We start from the raw sequence: 24,372 nt of genomic DNA on the forward strand, positions 1-24,372 counted from the left end.
GAGGGCAGCGACCGCGACTCAGTCTCCGCAGAGCCCGGGCGGGAGTAGCTGGTGGACCCCGTTGAGCTGCCGAACTTCCGGGACTCCCCCGCGACCCCTTCCCAGCTTCCCGTCCGCTCCGCCGCAGCGATTGTCTCGGTGGGTTGATTCGGCACAAACCGCCCGACCCAGGGGCCGGTGCGCGTGTGGAAGGGGAAGCACTCCCCTCGTGGTCGCCTGGAGGTGCGCTGGAGGAGGGGGTGACATAACCAGGGACTCGAGGTCCGCCGTGGGAATGATCCACGAACTGCTCTTGGCTCTGAGCGGGTACCCTGGGTCCATTTTCACCTGGAACAAGCGGAGTGGCCTGCAGGTACTGTCCGGCGCAGAGCGCGGGAACCAGGGAGCGCAGGAGGGGGGACCTGAGCCAGCGCCTGGGGGAGTAGGCTGAGGGACCTAGCGAGCGGGGCTTCCAGGGCTGGGGGCGTATCCCTGGACAGGTGACTGGAGGGCAGCCCCTTAGGGTCAAGGCTGATGCGACACCTAGAGAGGCCGGGCCTAGGCTAGAAAACGGAGGGCAGACCTCGAAGAGCCCCACCTGTGGCGGGGCGAGGAAAGGGCCTGAGGTCCAGGTGTCTGACAGTTGCTGGGGAATGATATAGAAGTGTGGGAGGCACTTTCTCCTATTTATTTTCACACGTGCATTGTTTGAGTTTTGAAGTACTGGGCCAAATACACAGCTCCCAAACACATGGTAAGCGCTCAGTAAAGTTTGTTGAAGGAAATAAATGAAATCGAGAGCGTGTGGTGTTTCCCTCATTACTCCTTTACCAGAAAATTTCTGCACTAGGTAAAGCACTTGGTAGGGGGCCTTTGTGTAACCAGGAATGTATGATGTTCCGTATGCATTATCTTATTTAATCCTCACAACCACCTTATCCATTTTACAGATTAAGCTAGGTTTAGAATAGTTAAATAACTATCGGGGTCATAGCTAGTAATTAACAGAGCTTAGTTTTGAAGCCAGGTCTGTCTGGCTTCAGTATTTGAACTACTTTTACCTGCTTCTGCTTCCAGTAATGTTATCTAATGCTCTCAATAATTTAGTCCACTTAGGTATTGTTTCTACCAGTTAACAAATGAGCAAACTGAAGCTCAGAAAACTTTATGCTGGCCAGTCCTAGTAGTGGCAAGACTGAAATCTAGGTCCGTCTGATCACCAAGACATGCCGATTCTTAGGAGACTGTGGAAGAGCAGAAAAAGTACATTCTTAGTCTATAAAACCTATAAATCAAACAGTTTCCTTTCGTTATTATTTATGAACATGTATTTGGAGTTTGGGAGTTTAGGTGAATTTTTGAAAAAAACAGGTGAAGATTTGTGTGGTGGAGTTTGAATTGTTATCTTTCACCTGTAGGTCTTTGAAGACTAATTCGATGTTTCACTTTTCTCCATAGATCTTAGTACAATGCCAGGCATATAGGAGGACAGTATTTAGGAAGTATGTGGGTGCCTGATGGTCCAAAATAAGAAGAGATAACACAGTACAGGAAAGATAGCTAGGGAGGGGGTGGGGGAGACAACCACAAGTAATTCATCTTTTCCCTTCCTTTCTTTCTTATGAAAAATTCTCAATCATGTATTTTCTACCATTTCATCCTCAAGGTCTCAGCTTTAAAGTCACTTTGTCAGAAAAACTTTCTCTGAGCACATCTTTAAGCATCCTCCCCTGATGCCATTATTCTCCATCAACTTGTTTATTTCCCTTGTAGGATTTGTCACAATTCATAATGTATTGTTGTTACCTGTTTTTAGCCTTTCTCCCGCATAGATTGCCCCTGGGAGCGAAGACCAGTGGTCTTCTTCATTCATCTACCCAGAGCACCTAGCACAGTTTCTGCCACATAGCAGGTGTTTAGGTATTGATGGAAGAAAAGAAGACAAAGATGGCAAATATTACATAATTTCTGCAGAGCAGTGTCTTTTACATTTGAGTAAAGGGAAAAGTTGTCATGAGTGCCAAGTGTTAATGAAAATTATTTTATTATATTGAATATGTATATACATAAGCTAGGTATAAACTCAAGCATAATACTCTTAAACAACTATAAAATCAAATATTTTTATAAATTAAAAGTAAACAAAACTACCAAATCAATAAGTTCAAATGACCATTATTCTAATGCAGGATTTCTCAGCCTGTTCCTATAACTGTGTTATATAGAATGGTATCAGTAACTTCGAGTTATTATTTGCTGTTTCAGAATAATTAGATATTGAACTTTTCGAAAACTCTGCCAACAAGAAACGCTCAAATGCCAATTTTAATAGTAGTATCACTTGATAACTGGTAGAGCTGTCTTGTTAATAATATAAAATTGCTTATGTGTATTGAGCACTAGCTATGTGGTTGGGATATGTGCTTTACACATGTATTAACTTATTTAATCCTCACAATTATTTTCTTCAGTTTATAGGTATGAAAACAGGCACAGACAGGTATAGTAACTTGCCTAAGCTTTCAAGCAAGTAAGAGGCAACTCAGGGATTCAAACCCAGGCAGTTGGGCTCCAGAGACCAGGTTCTTTTTTTTTTTTTTTTTTTCCGAGATGGAGTCTCGCTCTGTCGCCCAGGCTGGAGTGCAGTGGTGCAATCTCGGCTCACTGCAAGCTCCACCTCCTGGGTTCACGCCATTCTCCTGCCTCAGCCTCCCGAGCAGCTGGGACTACAGGCGCCTGCCGCCACACCCGGCTAATTTTTTTGTAGTTTTTTTAGTAAAGATGGGGTTTCACCGTGTTAGCCAGGATGGTCTCGATCTCCTGACCTCGTGATCCGCCCACCTCGGCCTCCCAAAGTGCTGGGATTACAGGCGTGAGCCACTGCGCCCGGCAAGAGACCAGGTTCTTAAGCACCGTGTTGTGCAACCTCTTAAGTTACTAACTTGAAGATGTGATTAGCATTGTGTCATTAAAATCTACATTAATTGGATTCCTAATCAATTTTCTATGGACTTGGTAACAGAAAAATTCTTCTTCGCCTATTTGTTACCACATTTACTGTCATATAAAATGGCATCCACATATAATCCATATTATATATCCATCCATATAATATGCTAAGTTCCTTTGGAGCAGTAATTGTATCTGATTTTGTTCACTCTTTTATCTCAAAGTATTAGCACAGTACCTGGGATATAGTAATGGAAATGTAAAATGGTACAGCCATTGTGGAAAATGGTATGGCAGTTCTTCAAAAAATTAAATAAAGGCCAGGCACAGCGGCTGACACTTGTGATCTCAGCACTTTGGGAGGGTGAGGCTGGAGGATCAGTTAATGCCAGGAGTTTGAGGCTAGCCTGCGCAACAGAGCAAGACTCCATCTCTACAAAAAAAAAATTTTTAATTAGCTGGGCATGGTGACACATGCCTGTAGTCCTAGCTACTCTGGTGGCTGAGGTGGGAGAATTGGTTGAACCTAGGGGTTCAAGGTTACAGTGAGCTATGAACCCACCACTGTATTCCAGTCTGGGTGACAGAGTGAAACCTTGTCTCTAAAAAAAAAAATTAAATATAAAATTCCCATACAATCTAGCAGTTCTACTTCAGGGTATATCCCAAAAGAAGTGAAAGCAGGAACCCAACAGATATTTGTACACCCGTGTTCACCAAGCATTATTCACAATCGCTGAGAGGTGGAAGCAAGTGTCAGTGCAGGGACGAATAGGTAATTGAGATGTGGTATATACACACAAGGGAATATTGTTCAGCCTTAAAAAGGAAGGAAATTCTGGCATGTGCTACAACATGGATGAGCTGAAATAAGCCAGTCACAAAAGGACAAATAATGATTCCACTTTTTTTGAGACAGAGTCTCGCTCTGTTGCCCAGGCTGGAGGGCAGTGGTGCAATCTCAGCTCGCTGCAACCGCCGCCTCCCGGGTTTAAGCAGTTCTCATGCCTCAGCCTCCCAAGTAGCTGGCATTACAGGCGCCCACCACCACGCCTGGCTAATTTTCGTATTTTTAGTAGAGACAGGGTTTCATCATGTTGGCCAGGCTGGTCTTGAACTCCTGACCTCAGGTGATCCACCTGCCTCGGCCTCCCGAAATGCTGGGATTACAGGCGTGAGCAATTGTACCCGACCTGAGTGATTCCACTTATATGAGGTAGCTAGAGTAGTCAAAGTCAGAGGCAGTAGAGTGGTGTTTGGCAGGGGCTGGATACGGAGTTTCATTTGGGGCAAACAAAAAAGTTCTGGAGATGGATGGTGGTGCTGGTTGCACAACAGTGTGAATGTTCTTCATACCACTGAACTATATACTTAAAATAGCTAAAATGGTAGATTTTATTATACGTATTTTACCACAGTATTTTTAAAAAGTTGGTTGAAGGAATATATTTTCCCACTACTTTTTTCTACCTGAACTGCTGTGAAACCTTTGTATATAGCATATTAGGCTATCATTTGGCTTTCATTTAAATTAAAAATACAAATGTAAATATGGACACTAAATATATATGGCCAGTTATAAGGTGCATTTACAGATAATAGGTATGCTTAATTTTAGATTTTTACTGGAATGAAAACAATGAAAACTTCTATAGGGAATTTGTAAATCCTAAGAATATGTCTGAGAAACCCATGGAGTCTGCAGACCCCCATTTGAGCAATATTGCTAAAGAGACTTTGTTGCAACCAGGTCAAAACCCCCATATCCTTAGAGACCATCCCTAGAAGATTGCTTAAGAAGCAGGTAATAGCGGCTGCTTCTGGGGTGGTTGACTTATTTTTAATGTACACCATTTTATATTGTTTAAATTATTTAGCATGTGTTACCTATTTTAAGAAGCAAATAATTGGGTCAGGGATAGGGAACCCCTTTGAAGTGCTTTGGAAATACATTGTTATCCAGAACTTAACACCTTTAAGTGGACATCTTGAGAAAGAAAACGATAAATGTGTAGTATGAAGCGTTTGAAGCACCTGAAAGTTGGGGCAGCGACTGGCGGTGTTTTCGGCAGTGTTCCTCTTCCTGCAGGTATCGCAGGACTTCCCTTTCCTCCACCCCAGTGAGACCAGTGTCCTGAATCGACTCTGCCGGCTCGGCACAGACTATATTCGCTTCACTGAGTTCATTGAACAGTACACGGGCCATGTGCAACAGCAGGTGGGTCCTGTTCTCTGTGGGTGTACACCTCTAGAGGGCAGGAGCTATGTCAAGCTTTCACCTCTAGAGGGCAGGAGCTATGTCAAGCTTTCAGTGAATTTATCGGTAATTCATGTGAAATAAGTTATGGATTTCTCATCACTAGAAATATTCAAGTGAAGGCAAGGCCTCTAATTGGTTTGTTTGTATAACTTTTAAAAGAAACAAGCCTGATAATGTCTTTCTCAGGTTTCAGGGCCTGAGCTGAGAAGTTGGCTTCTGTTTGTTTGATTTCAGGATCACCATCCATCTCAACAGGGCCAAGGTGGGTTACATGGAATCTACCTGCGGGCCTTCTGCACAGGGCTGGATTCTGTTTTGCAGCCTTATCGCCAAGCACTGCTTGATTTGGAACAAGAGGTAAGAAGGAGGAGATATAGGAAACACCTCTGGGACAGTAGATTAGGGCATGTTCTTGAATCTGAAATGCCCTTTGATAAGATCAGGTAGTTAAGAGTGAGCAGTTGCCTGCATGGCTGGAAGGTACAGTGTTCTCTCAGTGATTGCCCAACCTGTGATCAGAGTGGCTTACAGATCATGGCAAAGACTCTTTAGTGAGTTTATAAGAGCCCTGGCTTGGTTTCTTTATGGCCCGAAAATCAGGATTAATAACCTGATTAAATTATCAGTTCTCGATAGCCTAAAATTAACACTTAAGCCCATCATGAGATTCTCTTCTCATTTTCATAGATCAAATAGATTTGAGATATTTTGTGTGGAGCTCTAATCACAAAGTTTTTTATTGCAGTTCCTGGGTGATCCCCATCTCTCCATATCACATGTCAACTACTTCCTAGACCAGGTATGCTGCCCAAATAACCAAATGCCTTGCAATCTGTTGATAGTGTTAGAATAATCTAATTTATGGTACTGTTTTTGAGAACTTTTTTTCTTCTGGATTCAGAGCCTAACATTTTATATTTTGTGCATTTTGTATGTTTTACTAGATCAAAACTGTTTAAAGATTTCCAAATATAGTTAAAACTTAATGTCTGATATTAACGCTAATGTTACTGCTCTATATGGACATCAGTATTAACAAGTATGCCAGCCTCAGAAATAGAAACTGCTTCCCGACTGGGCATGGTGGTACACACCTCTAATCCCAGCACTTTGGGAGGCCGAGGTGGTTGGATCACTTGAGGTCAGGTGTTGGAGACCAGCCTGGCCAAAATGGTGAAACCCTGTCTCTACTAAACATACAAAAATTAGTCGGTTGTGGTGGCGTGCACCTGTAGTCCCAGCTACTTGGGAGGCTAACGTTCTGAATCCAGGGGTGGAGGTTGCAGTGAGCTGGGATCCTACCACTATACTCCAGCCTGGGTGACAGAGTGAGACCCTGTCTCAAAAAAAAAAAAAAAAAGAAAAAAGAAAAAAAAGAAACTGCCTCTCTCTGCCATCCTCTTCCTATCTGCAGCGAACCTCCACATCAAATTGCCTTAGGATGCTGGATCTTGACTGTTCTGTGGTATTGCCATTTTATCTTAAGTTGAACTATTTAGAAACAAAAGCATTTCCCAAGTTGATTTTTTTTCCCTTACATTTGATTACATACCCTTCTAATTATTCTCTACTTTGCAGTTCCAGCTTCTTTTTCCCTCTGTGATGGTTGTAGTAGAACAAATTAAAAGTCAAAAGGTGAGAACTTTCCTTATTCCTTTTGCTTTGCTAAGCACTGAGGGAATATTACTAATTAATTTTGCTTTACATTATTTTTCGAAGACCCTAGTTTTTAGTAGTTTTTATTTATTCATTCATTTAACAATATCTGCTTGGTTATCATGTTAAGTGTCAGGAATGCAAAAGTATGACTCTGCCTTTAAACACCTCCTGGTCCAGAAGGTAGAGGAAATGTTCATAGATGTTCCCAAGAATGTTGTTGGGGTAAGAAAAAAAGTGCTGTGGATGTTTGCAGGTGAGAGGAACCTGCAGTAAGGTTTTAGAACTGTTGGGTGTGAAGCAGAAAGTTAATTCTTAGGAAGAAGGTAATAGGTTTATGGTTAGTGTGCTGGCAGTTTTCTGAGAATTTTGAGATCAGTGAGTGAAAGCCAGATGTTTAATAAATATGCCTATTCTTATCACAAGTTTTTATCAGGTGTATTGAGAAGTTAGGAGAATGTCTTTCTGGGCAGAGTTAATAAGTCTGAGGAATAAATGCTTTGAGATTTCATATTAGAAGAATCTGCTGTCCTATTGAATTGGTCCACAATTGGACCAAGTGGACAAATGGATTAAACATCTTTAGCTCAAGTCGTCATTTTTTTTAAGCTCTTTATTTGTGCCTTAGCTTATTAGGGGTGTTCATTTTCATTAATGTAACTAGTAAACCAGTTAATCTGCCACATTGCTGCATCATTTTTAACTGTGTAAGTGTAGAAACAGTGCTCTGCTATGTTCATGCTGTGCCAGCAAAGCCAGTGGTGGGTGCTCATTGGCCCTTCAAAGCTGATTGTCCTCATCAAATAACAACATCCAGCTTTTACTGTCACTGGCTGTGTACTAGGCACTGTGCTAAGTGCTTTAAATACATTATCACACACAATCCACTAAAGGGCTAAGTTGGTTAAGGGGTGTGCCCAGTGTCACACAGATAGTAGTAAATGGGTTTATATCCCAGCTCTATCTGGCTCCAAAGAGTGTGCTCTTAACCACTAGATTAAACTATCTCCCAAAATAAAAGGAGACATTCTAGGCAAATAGAGTTAATGAGGACAGCATAAGGGAGCCAGGCCTAGCTGCACGTCTCAGTTGGCCTTCAACTTCCGCTGGCTATAGGAAGGAGAGTGGAAAATAGGGGGATTGCAGATGGCTGAATCTTCCTCCCTGCCAGAATAGTGGTAGAGAAACTAGTGTACCAAGGCTCTTCAGAGTTTTTAAAATCAGGTGGTCAAAATTCTAGGTTTGGGTTGAGAATGGAGATTGATTGCAGACAGGCACAAAGGCGCTTTTTGGAGTAGTGGAAATGTTATAAAACTGGATTGTGGTAATGGTTGCCCAGTGTTTGAAATTTACTAAAAATTGTTTATTAGTATGCTTAAAATGGGTGAATTTCATTGTAAATTATACCTCAAAGTGGTAAAAATAAAAGTCTGGGGACCGGGCATGGTGGCTCACGCCTGTAATCCCAGCACTTCGGGAGGCCGAGGCGGGCGGACCACGAGGTCAGGAGATTGAGTCCATCCTGGCTAACACAGTGAAACCCTGTCTCTACTAAAAATACAAAAAAAATTAGCCAGGCGTGGTGGCGGGTGCCTGTGTCGCACTACTCGGGAGGCTGAGGCAGGAGAATGGTGTGAACCCAGGAGGCAGAGCTTGTAGTGAGCCAAGATTGCACCACTGCACTCCAGCGTGGGCGACAGAGCAAGACTCCGTCTCAAAAAAAAAAAAAAAAAAAAAAGTCTGAAGAACATAGAGGCAGAGGATTTTTGAAAAAGTATATACCTTAGAAGTAGACTGAATTGGGCCTTAACTTGAAATAAAAAGCTTTCCTTGGCTTTGGTGTTCCAACTCTAAATGATTCTGGTTGCTTTAAGTGCAGTGGTTCTCACACTTTACTGTGCATTAGAATCACCTGGAGGGCTTGTGGAAACACTGAGTGCTGGGTTCTAACCAAGAGTTTGCATGTCTGATGAGTCTCCAGGTCATGCTGCTGATGGGAGAGAGGTCCCTCTTTGAGAACCACTATGTGTAAATCTTAGGAGAAAGTTTATCCCCAGTCTCTCCTAGATTGTGCCCTCTTGGTTGAATATGGAATAAGAATGTGTCTTGCATGGACTCTTAGAATGGAATCCAGTTTGACAAGGCCGTATTTTCCACAGATTCATGGTTGTCAAATCCTGGAAACAGTCTACAAACACAGCTGTGGGGGGTTGCCTCCTGTTCGAAGTGCACTGGAAAAGTAAGTCATGGCTTAACTGGGAATTGGTGGTGGAGGTGGGTGGTCAAATTATTTGACTTCTCACATGTTTTATTTTCAGGTCATTTCAGGTTTCCCTCTTGGGAAGGTTATAACCAGGATAGAAAAAGCTCCATGAGCAGAGGAGCCCATGTAACCTTTATTATGGCTCAGGCCTTGCAAAAAGGGCTATAGAGTGTTGAGTGACAAAGCCAGGATTTAGGTGCCTGGATGACCTTGAGGCAATCTTTTTAAATGTTTAGATCCTGTTATCCTTGCAGGAATTCCATTACATGTGCCAGATGTTGCTTGCTGTGTCTAAACATGTGTATTTGAGTAGCTGGTATTTTCAAATTGAAGGTCCTTAAAAATGTTTATGCTTTATAATCCCATAATGCCACTCTTGGGAATTTTATCCTAACAAAACTATTTAATAGAAGAAAATAACTATATGCACAAACGTGTTCATTGCAATGTTGTCTACTATATCAGGAAATTAGAAAATTACCAACAGTAGAAAAAAATTTAAATGATGATATATTCACTTGATAGACTATAAAGCCACTAAAAGTGTAGGTACTATAACATGTAAACTATTTTATATAAATATGTACTGACAAATGATACAAAATTGTATTTATCTTGTGATTACAACAATATGAAAACATGTAGAGTATAATCAAAGACTGCCTGTTTGAGCTTTCCATTTATCCATTTTCCTTATTTTAAAAAAACTGTGACATTCATTGAAAAATTATAATAGATGATCCCTGAGGCCACTCACAACTCTGTTTTGTTCTTTTTTTCTTATTTTATTTTAATTTTTTGTAGAGAGAAGGCTTTGCTATGTTGCCCAGGCTGGTCTCGAACTCCTAGGCTCAACCGATATTCACATCTTGGCCTCCCAAAGTGTTGAGATTACAGGTGTGAGCCACCGCACCCGGCCACTCACAACTCTTAATCTCCACTCTAACCACTGCATGAGTAAATCCTCCAGAACATTCCTTAGGGACTTAATTCTCTATTATACTTTTGTGTATAGAATATAAAATCTAATGTAGATGATACTATATATACATGTTTGTTCTGTGTTTGCAGGGACCAAACTTTACAGACCACATACTCAGAAATGCATAAATGTAAATAGCTTCACATTTGATCTTTTTAAAGAGAGATTCCATTCAGTTAAATAACACAGTCAAGTTCTTGTAATTTCTTTTTCTCCCAACCTTTTATTTTGAAAAATTTTAAACCTACAAAAAAGTTGAAAGAAACGTATAATAAAACACTTGTAGGCTGGGCTCGGTGGCTCACGCTTGTAATCCCAGCACTTTGGAAGGCTGAGGCAGAGGGATCGCTTGAGCCCAGGAGTTCGAGACCAGCCTGGGCAACATAGCGAGACCCTGTCTGTACCAAAAATAAAAAAATTAGCCAGGTGTGGTGCCTGCCTGTAGTCCCAGCTACGGGAAGCTGAGGCAGAAGGATTGCTTTAGCCCAGGAGGTTGATGCTGCAGTGAGCTGAGATCTCGCCACTGTAATCCAGCCTGGATGACAGAATGAGACCCTGTCTCAAAACAAAAAACAAAAAAAACCAACCAAACGCTAGTGTATCCTTTAGTTTCACCATTTGTTAACATTTGCCACGTTTGATTTCTCTTTTTCTCCTTCTATACGTATATGTGAAATGCACAAATTTTTTTGCAGAGTCATTTGAAAGTAGTCACAGATACCCTAACACTTAAATACTTCAGCTTGTATCACTTTAGAAAAAAGGCATTCTTGGCTGGGCATGGTGGCACACACCTGTATTCCTAGCACTTTGAGAGGCCAAGGTGGGTGGATAGCTTGAGCCTAGGAGACCAGCCCAGGCAACATAGTGAGACCCCGTCTCTACAAATACAAAAAAAGTAGGCATGCTGTGTGCGCCTGTGGGCCCAGCTACTTAGGAGGCTGAGGTGGGAGGGTGGCTTGAGTCCAGGAGGTCGAAACTGCAGTGAGCCATGATCGTGCTACAGCACTCCAGCCTGGGCAACAGAGTGAGACCCTGTCTCAAAAAAAAAAGAAAAAAGAAAAAAAGAAAAATAAAAGAAAAAGGGATTCTCTTATAGAACATCAATTCCATATTACACCCAAGAAAGTTAACATTAATTCAGTAATACTATATCCAAATTTTTCTAGTTGTCCCTCAGAATTCCTTCATAGCTGTTCTTTTTTTGCAATCCAGGATCCGATCAGTGTTCACATACTACATTTTGTTCTCATGTCTTTTTAGTCTCCTTTAATTTAGAACCGTCCCCCTTGCCTTTTGTTGTTCTTGGTGTTTTGGATGACGCTGACATTTTAAGAGTCCTGACCAGCTGTCCTGTATAATGTTTCACAATCTGGATTTATTGTTTCCCTATGATTAGATTCAGATTAAACATTTTTTGGCAAGAATACTATGTAGGTGATATTATTTCCCATTACATCATATTAGAAGGTACAGAAAGTAACTTTATCCCATCACGGATGTTATGAAGTTGGATCACTTGGCTTAGGTGTTTTCATCACGTCCTGCTCCATTATAGAGGTACATTTTCCCCTTTTTAATTAATATGCTATCTGGTGGGTGATCCTTTGAGACCATCTGAATATCCTATTCCCCAACAACCATTCTGCATTTTGTTTTAGTTTCTGAATTTTGCTAGATAATGGTTTTTCATGTATACCTGGCACTCACGTATTGAATATTCTCTCCCTAAGTGATTCCAACAAAAATAAAACAAATTTAATACTGTGTTAGCCAAAAAGAGACTCCATTAAGTCGATTTTTAAAATTTTTTATTATTTTTATTTTTTATTGCTATAAAACAGTTGTACATATTTAGGACCCATCAGTTTTGAAAATTACATAAAAGAAGGGAAGAAAATGTCTTCCCTAAAATAATATCAGCACATATACTGAACATTTTAGATTTCATTGTGTAGGCTGCAAATATGGAAATTCAGTGAGTTAGTTCACCCACATTTAAATTAAAATAGCACAATTATTTTTAACTTAATTGGTTATTTCTGTTATGACTCATCAAATTCTCAGGCCTCTGTTTATCCTGTAACAGTTTAAAGCATGACTTCTGAGCCTCTTACTTTCTACTCTGCCCAGAATCCTGGCCGTTTGTCATGGGGTCATGTATAAACAGCTCTCAGCCTGGATGCTCCATGGACTCCTCTTGGACCAGCATGAAGAATTCTTTATCAAACAGGGGCCATCTTCTGGTAATGTCAGTGCCCAGCCAGAAGAGGACGAGGAGGATCTGGGCATTGGGGGACTGACAGGAAAACAACTGAGAGAACTGCAGGACTTGGTGAGAGCCCAAAAAGTAGCCTAGCACTCTCCTGCCAGGAGTCAGAAAAGCATGCACACAAATGATCTTCTGGTGATCCCTTCTTAGCTCATAGCTGAGCACCTTCCATCAATCCTTTCGATGTAAACATTCGGCTTTATCTTAACTAGTGTGAGACTATAAAATAGAAAATATGTTTGTGATATTCTTTTTGTTTCCTCTTTCCCAATATATGCATTTGAGAGATTATAAGTCTTACTTATGTAGCTACTCTAATGGAGCAGCTAGCTACATTTTAGATTTTAAATACAGTTTGGAGTTTTGTTTTTTTTTTTAAAGACAGATTCTCACCCATCGCCCAGGCTGGAGTGCGATGGCGCAATCTTGGCTCACTGCAGCCACTGCCTCCCAGGTTCAAGCAATTCTCCTGCCTTAGCCTCCCAAGTACCTGGAACCAGGCATGTGCCACCATGCCTAGCTAATTTTCATATTTTTTATTTTCATATTTTTAGTAGAGACAGGGTTTTGTCATGTTGGCCAGGCTGGTCTCGAACGCCTGACCTCAGGTGATCCACCCGCCTCGGCCTGTAAGTGTTGGGATTACAGGCATGAGCCACCGTGCCTGGCCAGTTTGGTGTTTTGATTAGACTCCTCAAAGTTCTACATTGTCCATATTCATCCATTCATCCATCCATCCATTCATTCATTTATCCTGTGGCAATATTTCATTGAATGCCTGTTATGTGCTAGGCATTGTTCTAGGTGCTACAAATAAAAAGTAGTAGTGTCTGTCCCTAAGGAGCTCATAGTTTAGGGGAAGAGATATAGAAAAGTAAACAGTTACATTACAGTGTGCTAAGGGCTCTGAAAAGACTAAATATGGGTATTCTTGGAACATGGTCATGGGATAGGGTCTTGGAGTGACTAGGGAAGGCTTTTCAGTGGAAGGTATGTCTAAATTGCAAAGAGTTTGGGAGGAGCCATCAAGAGACATCCAGGCAGAAGGAATGATATGTGTAAAGGTACAGGGGCCATTAAGGACATGGTTCATTTGGGGAAACAGTAGTAATTCAATTGAAATGATCAAATAAAGGCTGAAGTAAAATGTTACAAGAGATGGTGTGAGGGAGAGGTGGTACTTGAAACTGTGTAAGTTGGTACTTGATGAAACTTGAGTTAAGCAGAGGCAAGATCACAAAGGTGCATGTAAACAGTGGAAATGAGTTTGTACTTGAACCTGAAAAGAGTTGGGGGCTATTGAATTTTAAGCAAGTGGGTACCACAGTCAGACTTCATGATAAATCACTCTGGATGCTGTGTGGGGAATCATTTTTTAAAAATCAAGATTAGAGGCAGGTCGATCAGTTAAGAGAGTGTTGGGGAGACTTAGGTGAAAATAATAGTCCCCTAAACCAAAGATACTAACATTGAATATGAAAAAAGAGCAAAGAGGTGTGAGAGATGTTTAGAGGGTGGAATCAGTAGGCTTAGTGAGTGCTTGGAAATGAGTCAAGAGGGAAGAATCATTGATGATACCCAGGTTTCTGCCTTCAGCAGCTGGGCAAGTAGTGACGATAGGGGTGTATACTGCTGGTATGCGGGGAAGAAGATGGGTCTAATGGGGGGCATGTTGAGTTTGAGGAACTTGTGGGAAATGTTCAGTGGGCTGAGCCTGGGGCTCATGAGAGCACTCCAGCTTACTTTAAATCTACATATGGAATCATCAGCATGGGGCTTGGAGGTTTTTAATCTGGGGCCCTTGGGTGGCTTCAGGAGGTTCATGAAATGTTATATGTCTGTACATTTGTCTGGAAGATCCATAGCTTTTATGATTGCAGAGAGGTCTGTGACCTAAAAATTAAAACTATCTGTTACACTGATCAGTCACAGAAGACGATGTGATTGTATAGGAAGTGTAGGCTGAGAGGAAAAGACAGTCTGGGACAGTGCCCTGAGGAGCACCAGCAGAGAAGACATAGAGAGAAGACCTGGAAAACAAAAAAGACCACCTCTTTCATCGTACAAGTAAGGAAGCTGGTCGACTGTGCAAGTTTTTACTCAGTAGTAAAGGCAGAGTGAGGGCCCAAATCCCAGTATTTAAGCCACTCTTATTTCCACCATGCCACTCTGCTGCCTGAAGATGAAATACATCTCTCCAAAATGGGTGGTTTGAGAACTGTGCAACACCAGATTTGAAGTCCCTGCGTCTTTATTTTAAATCATGGGTTGGGAGAGTTACTAGGTATTTTCTTGTTTTCCTTTTCTTGCTTCACACTGCATCTCGATGTGTACTCTTTCCTTGACTAGCGCCTGATTGAGGAAGAGAACATGCTGGCACCATCTCTGAAGCAGTTTTCCCTACGAGTGGAGATTTTGCCATCCTACATTCCAGTGAGGGTTGCTGAAAAAATCCTATTTGTTGGAGAATCTGTCCAGATGTTTGAGAATCAAAATGTGAACCTGACTAGAAAAGGTAGAAATCTCCTTGTCCAATGTACCACACCCTCAAAATCTCTTCTTCCTTAATACTATGTGGCCCCACAGCATGCCTGGTCAGAGCGAGTGGTCGATAATATTCCTATCCTGAGATTGTAGCAGAATCATGACGTTTGTCTGAGAAGCAGGTGAAGTTGCTGCCCCACTGAGATTAGCCCTCCCCAGAAAACCCTAACTGTCCTGGGTATTCTCCGTCCTCCTTTGACGGTGTCTTCCTATTTTGCAGGATCCATTTTGAAAAACCAGGAAGACACTTTTGCTGCAGAGCTGCACCGTCTCAAGCAGCAGCCACTCTTCAGCTTGGTGGACTTTGAACAGGTGGTGGATCGCATTCGCAGCACTGTGGCTGAGGTTTGTGTTTCATCGTATATATATATATATATATATATATATATATATTTTTTTTTTTTTTTTTTTTTTTCTTAGGCAAAATTGGACTAGTTTCCTAGAAATTGAGTTACTTGGTCGGGCGCAGTGGCTCACGCATGCAGTCTCAACACTTTGGGAGGCCAAGGCAAGTGGATCATCTGAGGTCAGGAGTTCAAGACCAGCCCGGCCAACATGGTGAAACCCCGTCTCTACTGAAAATACAAAAATTAGTCGGGTGTGGTGGCATGCACCTGTAGTCCCAGCTACTTACGAGGCTGAGGCAGGAGAATCGCTTGAACCCGGGAGGCGGAGGTTGCAGTCAGCCGAGATCACACCATTGCACTCCAACCTGGGCAACAGAGCAAGACTCTGTCTCCAAAAAAAAAAAAAAAAAAAAAAAAGACACTGAGTTACTTGACTTTTGTTTTTATCTTGATGTCTTGATGAGTTAAGAACCGAGCTTGGAAAGAAATGTTGCAGAGAGTTGAAGGCAGAAAGTAGAAAAGAAAAGCCTCTGTTTTCATTAACAGAGGCAGAACTGCCTTCCCATTTTCCTATCTAACTAAAAGACAGGTGGTTTTTAGTTGGTTAGTTAGTTGAATAAAGGGGGGATCTTGGTTTAAATTCTGAAAATCAGCATTTTGGATCTGTCTCTATCGTTTGCAATAACTCCTAGGAATCAACTAATTCTGACTAAATTTTGTGTCTTGTAGTTTAGTATGGCTCATAACTTATACTTTCATTTCTATACACAATCATCTTATGAGGAAAGCAGAACAAATATTATTTTCTCATTCTTATAAATGAAGCAAACACTCAGCAAGCTGACTTGTCTGGCTTGCCTGGTGTGGCACAGTGAGTAGCCATAGTGAGGTCAGTGCCAGGCCTCCGACTCCTGGTGCACAGTCTTCTTCATTTTGAATTGTGCTGGTGCCACCGACTTAAATTGTGACCAGTAATTTTTCAAAGGAGCATATATGTTCTGTGGCTTATATTAACATTTGTCTCATGGATATGTGATAACACGAAATGAGACATTTAGTCAGCTGTGTTGTTAACTATATTCCTGGCTTTCAACATTGGCTAAGCATAGAATCGCATGAGAAAATTTTATTTTTTATTTTTTATCTTTTTATGGAGTCTTGCTGTGTCACCCAGGTTGGAGTGCAATGGTGTGATCTCGGCTCACTGCAACCTCTGCCTCCTGGGTTCAAGCGATTCTCCCGCCTCAGCCTCCCAAGTAGCTGGGATTACAGGCACACATCACCATGCCCAGCTAATTTTTGTATTTTTAGTAGAGATGGGGTTTCACCATGTTGGCCAGGCTGGTCTCAAACTCGTGAGCTCAAGTGATCCTCCCACCTCAGCCTCCCAAAGTCCTGGGATTATAGATGTGAGCCACTGCGCCTGGCCCGCATGAGGAAATTTTAAAACCTGCACTTGCACCAAGTCCTTACTTCCAGAGCTTCTGATTCATAGGTCAGGAGAGGGTAGGTACCTTTATTTTATTTTATTTTTGAGACAGGGTCTTGCTTTGTCACCCAGGCTGAAGTGCAGTGGAGCAGTCGCGGCTCACTACAAACTCCGCCTCCCGGGTTGAAGCAATTCACGTGCCTCAGCCTCCTGAGTAGCTGGGACTGCAGGCCTGCACCAGCATGCCTGGCAAACTTTTTTGTATTTTAATAGAGATGGGGGTTTCACCATGTTGGCCAGGCTGGTCTTGAACGTTTGGGCTCAAGTGATCCTCCTGCCTTGGCCTCCCAAAGTGCTAAGATTACAGGTGTGAGCCACCACGCCCGGCAGGTACTTCTATTTAAGCAAGCCAGTCCACCCACCAAAGACAAACCTCTACAGGGGTTTTTGAAACAGACAGGACTAAAAAGCAGTGCACTTCGTTCAGTGTCTGGAACTGCTAAGAGCATCAAATCTCCATGGGTTAGAAGCACAGTAATCTATTATAAATATGGTTTCCCTTTCTAGTCACTGTCTCAAAAACTCCTGGTCATCAGAGGTAGAGCTGTGATATAGACACAGAATGTTCGATCTTAAAATGGCTGTGAAGTATCATTTGATTTGAATCTTTCTGGGCAAGTAAATATCTAAATGACCCATGTTCCTGTCCTTTCAAAATTTTAAGACATTGCTTCAACCCCGTCTATAGGCCAAGGCAGTTTCTAGTCTAGAGGGGTTGGTATCAGTTCCTTTCATTTTTGAAAATTGAATCTAGTTCTGTTGCTTTATCATTTTTATTATAAATCTTTGGAAAGTATAATTAATGGAAGAAAGTAAAATTGTACTGACTGAATTATAAACAATAGAAAAATTGTTTTTTCTTGTGAAAGTTTGCTAGAAATTATATTTCCAATTTGTAAAAATGATAAGCAAACTAAAGCACAGACTCTTTGAAGTTTCTTAGAATTGTAGTTAATAGACTTTGGAAGCATTATTGCAACAATAACAGCCTACAGCAATGAAAAGCTGTGCCCTGAAGGAAAAGGGGGGAGTGTTTTGTAAATATGTGTTATATTTATCCCTTTTGGGATTCTTTCTCTCCTTTAAAAATTTTTTTCTTTAAAGTGTGTATACTATGTGAATCTATTTCTGTAAAGTTCAAAAACAGGCAAAGTGAATCTGGCGCTAGAGGTCAGGACTATATTTGCCTTTGAGTCAATGGGAGGGGCATGAGTGGGGCTTCTAGGGTGCTGGCAACACTCAGTTCGTTCCATTTCTTGATCTGGGTGCTGGTAATACAGGTGTTCAATTTGTAAAAATCTTCAAGCTGTGAACTTACGACTTGTACTTTTCTGTATGTATTTTGGTACTTCAACAAAAGGTTTTAAAAATTCTGAGGTACTTAATAGTTTTCATTTTAATTATGTCTTTAGTTTTTACTGCTTACATAGAGAAATGGTGGTATTACTTTTTGTGGTTAATCTTATAACTTGCAACGTGTTGAACTCTTTTTAGTTGTAATAGTCTGATTCTATCAGTTGTTCTAAGTAGATGATCATACTATCTGCAAATGAGAGAACTTTCCTTCTATTTTTATTTTTATTTTTTGAGATGGAGTCTTGCTGTGTTGCCCAGGCTGGTCTTGAACTCCTCGGCTCAGGTGGTCCTTCTGTGAGCCACCATACCCAGTCCAGAGCTTTTTATCATAAGTAGATGTTGAATTTTATCAACTGCTCTTTCTGTGTCAATTAAGGTTCAGTTTCTTGCTCTGGGTTATTTTTCTCCTTTAGTCTATTTATATGATAAATTTCTGGTTAGATTTTGAGATACTGATTCTTCCTGAGATAAACACTACTTGATTGGATGTTTTACATCTGTATTCACTAGTTGTATTAGTCTGTTCTCATGCTGCTAATAAAGACATACCCAAGACTGGGTAATTTATAAAGGAAAGTGGTTTAATGAACTCACAGTTCCACATGGCTGGGGAGGCCTCACAGTCATGGCTGAAGGCGAATGAGGAGCATAGTCAGGTTTTACGTGGCAGCAGGCAAGAGAGCTTCTGTAGGGGCACTCCCCTTTATAAAATACTATAAAAATATATAAAATATATAATTTATTATAAAGTAAATCACCCCTTTATAAGAGTGATTTATTCCCTCTCAGAAGAACAGCATGAGAAAGACCACCCCCATGATTCAATCACCTCCCACCGGGTTCCTCCCACAACACGTGGGAGTTATGGAAGCTACAATTCAAGATGAGGTTTGGGTGGGGACACAGCCAAATCATGTCACTATGAAATAAGACTGTACCCTTCTTTTCCTGTATTTTGCTTATGTGGTTTTGGAATAAAGATTCTACAGTCCTCATAAAATGGGCTAGTTAGGTTTTGTTCTTTTTCTATTTTTTAGAACAGTTTATATAAGACAGGAATTCTTACTGAAAGTTTGAATTTACCTGAAAAATAATCTAAGCTAGATATTTTTAGGAGGGAAAACTTACCTAGTTCAGTGTATTTAAAACCTATTGACATAAAACAGGTATTTCTTGTATTAATTTTGGTATTTTCTAGGAATTTACCTATTTCATCTAGATTTAATTTAAAAAAATCTAGTCATTTATGTTTTATTTATTTAGAATTTCTTTTTATTGTTTAGTCTTATTAGTCTTTTCAAAGAACAAGCTTTTGTTTTTAATCTTTTTTCTTTTTTCTTTTTTTTTTTTTTGAGACAGAGTCTCACTGTGGCCCAGGCTGGAGTGTATTGATGCAATCTTAGCTCACTGCAGCCTCCACCTCCCAGGTTCAAGGGATTCTCCCACCTCAGCTCCTGAGTAGCTGGGATTACAGGCGTGCACCACAACGCCCAGCTAATTTTTGTATTTTTAGTACAGATGGGGTTTCACCATGTTGGCCAGGCTGGTCTCGAACTCCTGACCTCAAGTGATCCACCTGCCTCGGCTTCTCAAAGTGCTGGGATTATAGGCGTGAGCCACTGGGCCTGGCTTTTTCTTTAATTTAAAAAAAATTTGTAGAGACAGCTTCTCGCTCTGTCACCCAAGCTGGAGAGCAGTGGTGCAATGATGAGTCACTGCAGCGCGATCTCCAGGCTCAATCAATTTTCCCATCTCAGCCTCCCAAGTAGCTGGGACTAGAGGTGCATGCCACCATGCCCAGCTAATTCTTTTCTTTTTTTTTTCTTTTCTTTTCTTCTTTTTTTTTTTGAGACACAGTCTTATTCTTCTTACTCTTCTTACTGTGTCGCCCGGGCTAGAGTGCAGTGGTATAATCCTAGTTCACTGCAGCCTCCAATTCCTGGGCTCAAGCAATCTTCCCTTCTGCCTCAGCCTTCCAAAGTACAGGGATTATAGGCATGAGCCTCAGCACCTGGCCTTTCATTTTCTTTTTTTCCCCCAGAGACAGGGTCTTGTTCTATCTCCCAGGCTGGAGTGCAGTGATGTCATCATAGCTCACCATAATCTTGAACTCTTAGGGTAAAGCAATCCTCCTCCCTCAGCCTCCTGAGTAGCTAGTATTACAGGTGCAAATCACCATGCCCTGCTATATTTTAAACTCTTTTGTAGAGACGGAGTCTCAGTATGTTGCCCAGGCTGGTCTAGAACTCTTGGCTTCAAGCAGTCATCCCATTTCAGCCTCCCAAAGTGCTGGGATTACAGATGTGAGCCACAACACCTCAGCACTGCAGTTTTGACCTGCTTCATTTCTGACCTGGGCCAATTCACCCATTCTTAGGCAACCTGGTGGTCCCCCACTCCCAGGTGGTCACCGTATTGATGCCGAATTTATTGTGGACACCTGATTGGTGTAGCACACTACAGCCCAGAATTCCTAGACTCAAGTGAAACTTCTGCCCCAGCCTCCCAAGTAACTGGGCCTGTAGGCATGCACCACTGCGCCCACCAGGCTTTTTCTTTTTTTAATTTTATTTTTTAAATATATATTTTGGGGTCAGGCACAGTGGCTAATGCCTGTAATTCCAGCACTTTGGGAGGCCAAGGCAGGCAGATCACTTGATGTCAGGAGTTTGAGACCAGCCTGGCCAACATGGCGAAACCCTGTCTCTACTAAAATAAACTACAAAAATTAGCCAGGTGCAGTGGTGCGTGCCTATAGTCCCAGCTACTCGGGAGGCTGAAGCAGGGGAATTGCTTGAACCTCGGAGGCAGAGGTTGCAGCAAGCTGAGATGGTGCCACTGCATTCCAGCCTGGACAATAGAGTAAGACTCCGTCTCAAAATAAAATAAAATAGAGATACACACACACACACACACACACACACACACACACACACACACACATATTTTTTTTTGTTTGAATTCTGTGTTTCATTGATATCTGCCTTTTTCTTTATTAGTTTCTTCCTTCGTGTTTTTTTTTTTACTCTTTCCCAGGTTGAAAGCTTGACTCCTTTATTTTTAACCTGTGTTTTCTGAGAAATATATATAAAACTTTACATATTGTTTTGACTGTGTCTCACAAGTTTTTGGCATGTAGTGTTTTCATTATATTCTATATAATTCTAATTAATTTTGTTTATGATTTTTTAACCAAGGAATTTGTTTTAATTTTATTGCATTATAGTTGGAGAACATAGTCTGAATTATATTGTTTCTTTGGAATCTATTGCAGGTTTCTTTATGGACTAATACAGGTCTGGTTTTTGTTTGTTTGTTTGTTTTGTTTTGTTTTGTTTTGAGACGGAGTTTTGCTCTGTCACCCAGGCTGGAGTGCAGTGGCGTGATCTCGGCTCACTGCAACCTCTGCCTCCCGGGTTCAAGCGATTCTCCTGCCTCAGCCTCCTGAGTAGCTGGGGTTACAGGCATGTGCCACTACGCCCGGCTAATTTTTGTATTTTTAGTTGAGATGGGGTTTCGCCATGTTGTGCTGGCTGATCCCGAACTGCTGAGCTCAAGTGATCTGCCCGCTTCGGCCTTCCAAAGTGCTGGGATTACAGGCATGAGCCACTACACCTGGCCTAATATATTCTTTACTTAGATTCTATTTTGTTAGTTACTAAGATCACTATCCAGCTTCCTTTCAAATCATATTTACCTGATACACTCTTCCATCCTTTATCTGCAACCTTTCTGTGTGCTTTCATCCCACTCTTCCTACCCTGACAGTCCCCAAGCAGCCACTGATCTGATCTACTCCCTGTCACTCTAGGTTAGTCTGCACTTTCTAGAGTTGATAAAAATGAAATCATACAGTATGCACTCTTTTGGAGGAGGAGACCAGGCTTCTTTTACTCAGCATAATTATTTTGAGATGAACCCATGTTGCATTTATCAATGGTTTATTCCTTTATATTACTTACTAGTATTCTATTGTTTATACCAGTGTGTTTATCCATTCATCCTTGATAAATATTTGGGTGGCTTCCCAATGTCTTTTTTTTTTTTTTTTAAGACGGAGTCTTGCTCTGTCTCCAGGTTGGAGTGCAGTGGCGCGGTCTCTGCTTACTGCAACCTCCGTCTCCCGGGTTCAAGCGATTCCCCTGCCTCAGCCTCCCGAGCAGCTGGGATTACAGGCACCCGCCACCACGCCCAGCCAGTTTTTTGTATTTTTAGTAGAGATGGGGTTTCACCATGTTGGCCAGGATGGTTTCGATCTCTTTTTTTTTTAATTTTATTATTATTATACTTTAAGTTTTAGGGTACATGTGCACAATGTGCAGGTTTGTTACATATGTATACATGTGCCATGTTGGTGTGCTGCACCCATTAACTCGTTATTTAGCATTAGGTATATCTCCTAATGCTATCCCTCCCCGGTCCCCCCACCCTACAACAGTCCCCGGTGTGTGATGTTCCCCTTCCTGTGTCCGTGTGTTCTCATTGTTCAATTCCCACCTATGAGTGAGAACATGCGGTGTTTGGTTTTTTGTCCTTGTGAGAGTTTGCTGAGAATGATGGTTTCCAGTTTCATCCATGTCCCTACAAAGGACATGAACTCACCATTTTTTATGGCTGCATAGTATTCCATGGTGTATATGTGCCACATTTACGATTAACAAAATGTGGTTTCGATCTCTTGACCTTGTGCTCTGCCCACCTTGGCCTCCCAAAATGCTGGGATTCCCCACTGTCTTTTTCATTTGCATGCCTGTAATGACTAATGAGGTTGAACATTTTTTCATGTGCCTCTTTGCCTATTTTATACTGGGTTTTTGTTTTCTTGTTGTCGAATTTTGAGAGTCCTTTATGTATTCTGAATTTAAGTTCTTTAACAGATATGTGACTTACAAATATTTTCTCACTATTTTTTTTTTTTTTTTTTGAGACAGAGTCTTGCCCTGTTGCCCAGGCTGGAGTGCAGTGGTGCAATCTCGGCTCACTGCAAGCTCTGCCTCCTGGGTTCAAGTGATTCTTCTGTGTCTGCCTCCCAAGTAGCTGGGACTACAGGCGCCTGCCACCATGCCTGGCTAATTTTTGTACTTTTAGTAGAAATGGGGTTTCAGCGTGTTAGCCAGGATGGTCTCGAACTCCTAACCTTGTGATCCGCCCACCTCAGCCTCCTTAAGTCCTGGGATTTACAGGCATGAGCCACCACGCCTGGGCTATTTTCTCACAATTTATGACTTGTCCCAGAAGTTGTTAATTTTGATGAAATCCAGTTTACCTTTTGTTTTTCTTTTATGGATCATGTTTTTGGTGTTATGTCTAAGAACTCTGCCTAACTCAAGGATACTAAGATTTTCTCTTCTCTTTTCTTCCAGAAATTTTATAGTTTTCAGTTTTATACCCAGGTCTATGATTGATATGCTTGGACCTGTGTCCCCGCCAAAATTTCTTGAGTTGTAGGGGCGTGGTGGGAGATGATTGGTTCGTGGAGCAGTTTCTCATGAATGGTTTAGCGCCATTCCCCTTGGTACTGTCCTCACGATAGTAAGTTCTCATGAGATCTGGCTGTTTAAATGTGTGCAGCACCTCCCCCTTGCTCTCTCTTGCTCCTATTCCTGCCATGTGAGACGCCTTTGCCTTCTGCCATGATTGTAAGTTTCCTGAGGCCTCCCTAGAAGCCAAGCTGAAGCCACCGTGCTTCCTGTGCAGCCTGCAGAACTGTGAGCAACTCAACCTCTTTTCTTCATTAATTACCCAGTCTAAGGTATTCTTTACAGCAGTGTGAGAATGGAATAATACATTGATTGTTTTGAGTAAATTTTTCTATGTGGGGCAAGGTATAGTCTTCTTTTAATACATTGCTGGATTTGTATGGAACCATTCTTTGCAGGAGTTCTCACTGTAATGAAATTTGTCCCTGTTTTGTTGGTTGTTTTCATAGCATCTCTGGAAGTTGATGGTAGAAGAATCCGATTTACTGGGTCAGCTGAAGGTAATGGCTTAGCTGTTGTAATTCTTACGGTGATGCTGGTAGGCAGTGACTTGCATTCTCTGATGTTTCCTGAGAGCACTGGTTGCCTATACCCAGACTTCCAGAGTCAACTCATTTGTTCTTATCCAAGTGAGCAAACTATACCTAATGCCACAAATCTACGATAATACAAAGATTTGGGAGTGTACTTTTTTCTGGCATATATATATAATTATGTTGCTATTGAATAAATAATGCCAAATACACACCAGTCATCCTGCTATGCGGAACTAAGTATGCCTCTTTGAAATGCCAA

At 41.5% G+C, this 24,372-nt stretch overlaps 1 protein-coding gene and 1 pseudogene across 9 annotated transcripts in view, besides 1 other annotated feature; one reads left to right on the forward strand and one right to left on the reverse strand.

Moving 5' to 3' along the window:
• The window catches only part of TUBGCP4 (tubulin gamma complex component 4), a 38,671-nt gene continuing 14,319 nt past the window's right edge, over window positions 21–24,372 (forward strand). For 6 of the 9 annotated variants that reach the window (NM_001286414.3, XM_011521454.4, NM_014444.5 and 3 more), the window contains exons 1-10: window positions 21–352; window positions 5,018–5,146; window positions 5,423–5,545; window positions 5,934–5,987; window positions 6,767–6,823; window positions 9,004–9,083; window positions 12,223–12,424; window positions 14,711–14,876; window positions 15,126–15,250; window positions 24,027–24,077. In NM_001286414.3, the coding sequence (NP_001273343.1) occupies window positions 275–352; window positions 5,018–5,146; window positions 5,423–5,545; window positions 5,934–5,987; window positions 6,767–6,823; window positions 9,004–9,083; window positions 12,223–12,424; window positions 14,711–14,876; window positions 15,126–15,250; window positions 24,027–24,077 (1,065 nt within the window). In that variant the 5' untranslated portion in view covers window positions 21–274. Of the gene's footprint in view, window positions 353–5,017; window positions 5,147–5,374; window positions 5,546–5,933; window positions 5,988–6,766; window positions 6,824–9,003; window positions 9,084–12,222; window positions 12,425–14,710; window positions 14,877–15,125; window positions 15,251–24,026; window positions 24,078–24,372 lie in introns of those variants that run through there. The other 3 variants (XM_047432390.1, XM_047432391.1, XM_011521455.3) reach the window with 2 other exon arrangements.
• Window positions 32–151: an enhancer, noted in NCBI's record as "active region_9313". NCBI's record gives its function as "activates an Ori minimal core promoter by ATAC-STARR-seq in GM12878 lymphoblastoid cells {active_cell/tissue: GM12878}" and the evidence as "EXISTENCE:reporter gene assay evidence [ECO:0000049][PMID:35858748]".
• Window positions 20,304–20,647, reverse strand: RN7SL487P (RNA, 7SL, cytoplasmic 487, pseudogene; annotated as a pseudogene).

This window comes from Homo sapiens, chromosome 15 (genome assembly GCF_000001405.40).
Source record: "Homo sapiens chromosome 15, GRCh38.p14 Primary Assembly".
Taxonomy (NCBI): domain Eukaryota; kingdom Metazoa; phylum Chordata; class Mammalia; order Primates; family Hominidae; genus Homo; species Homo sapiens.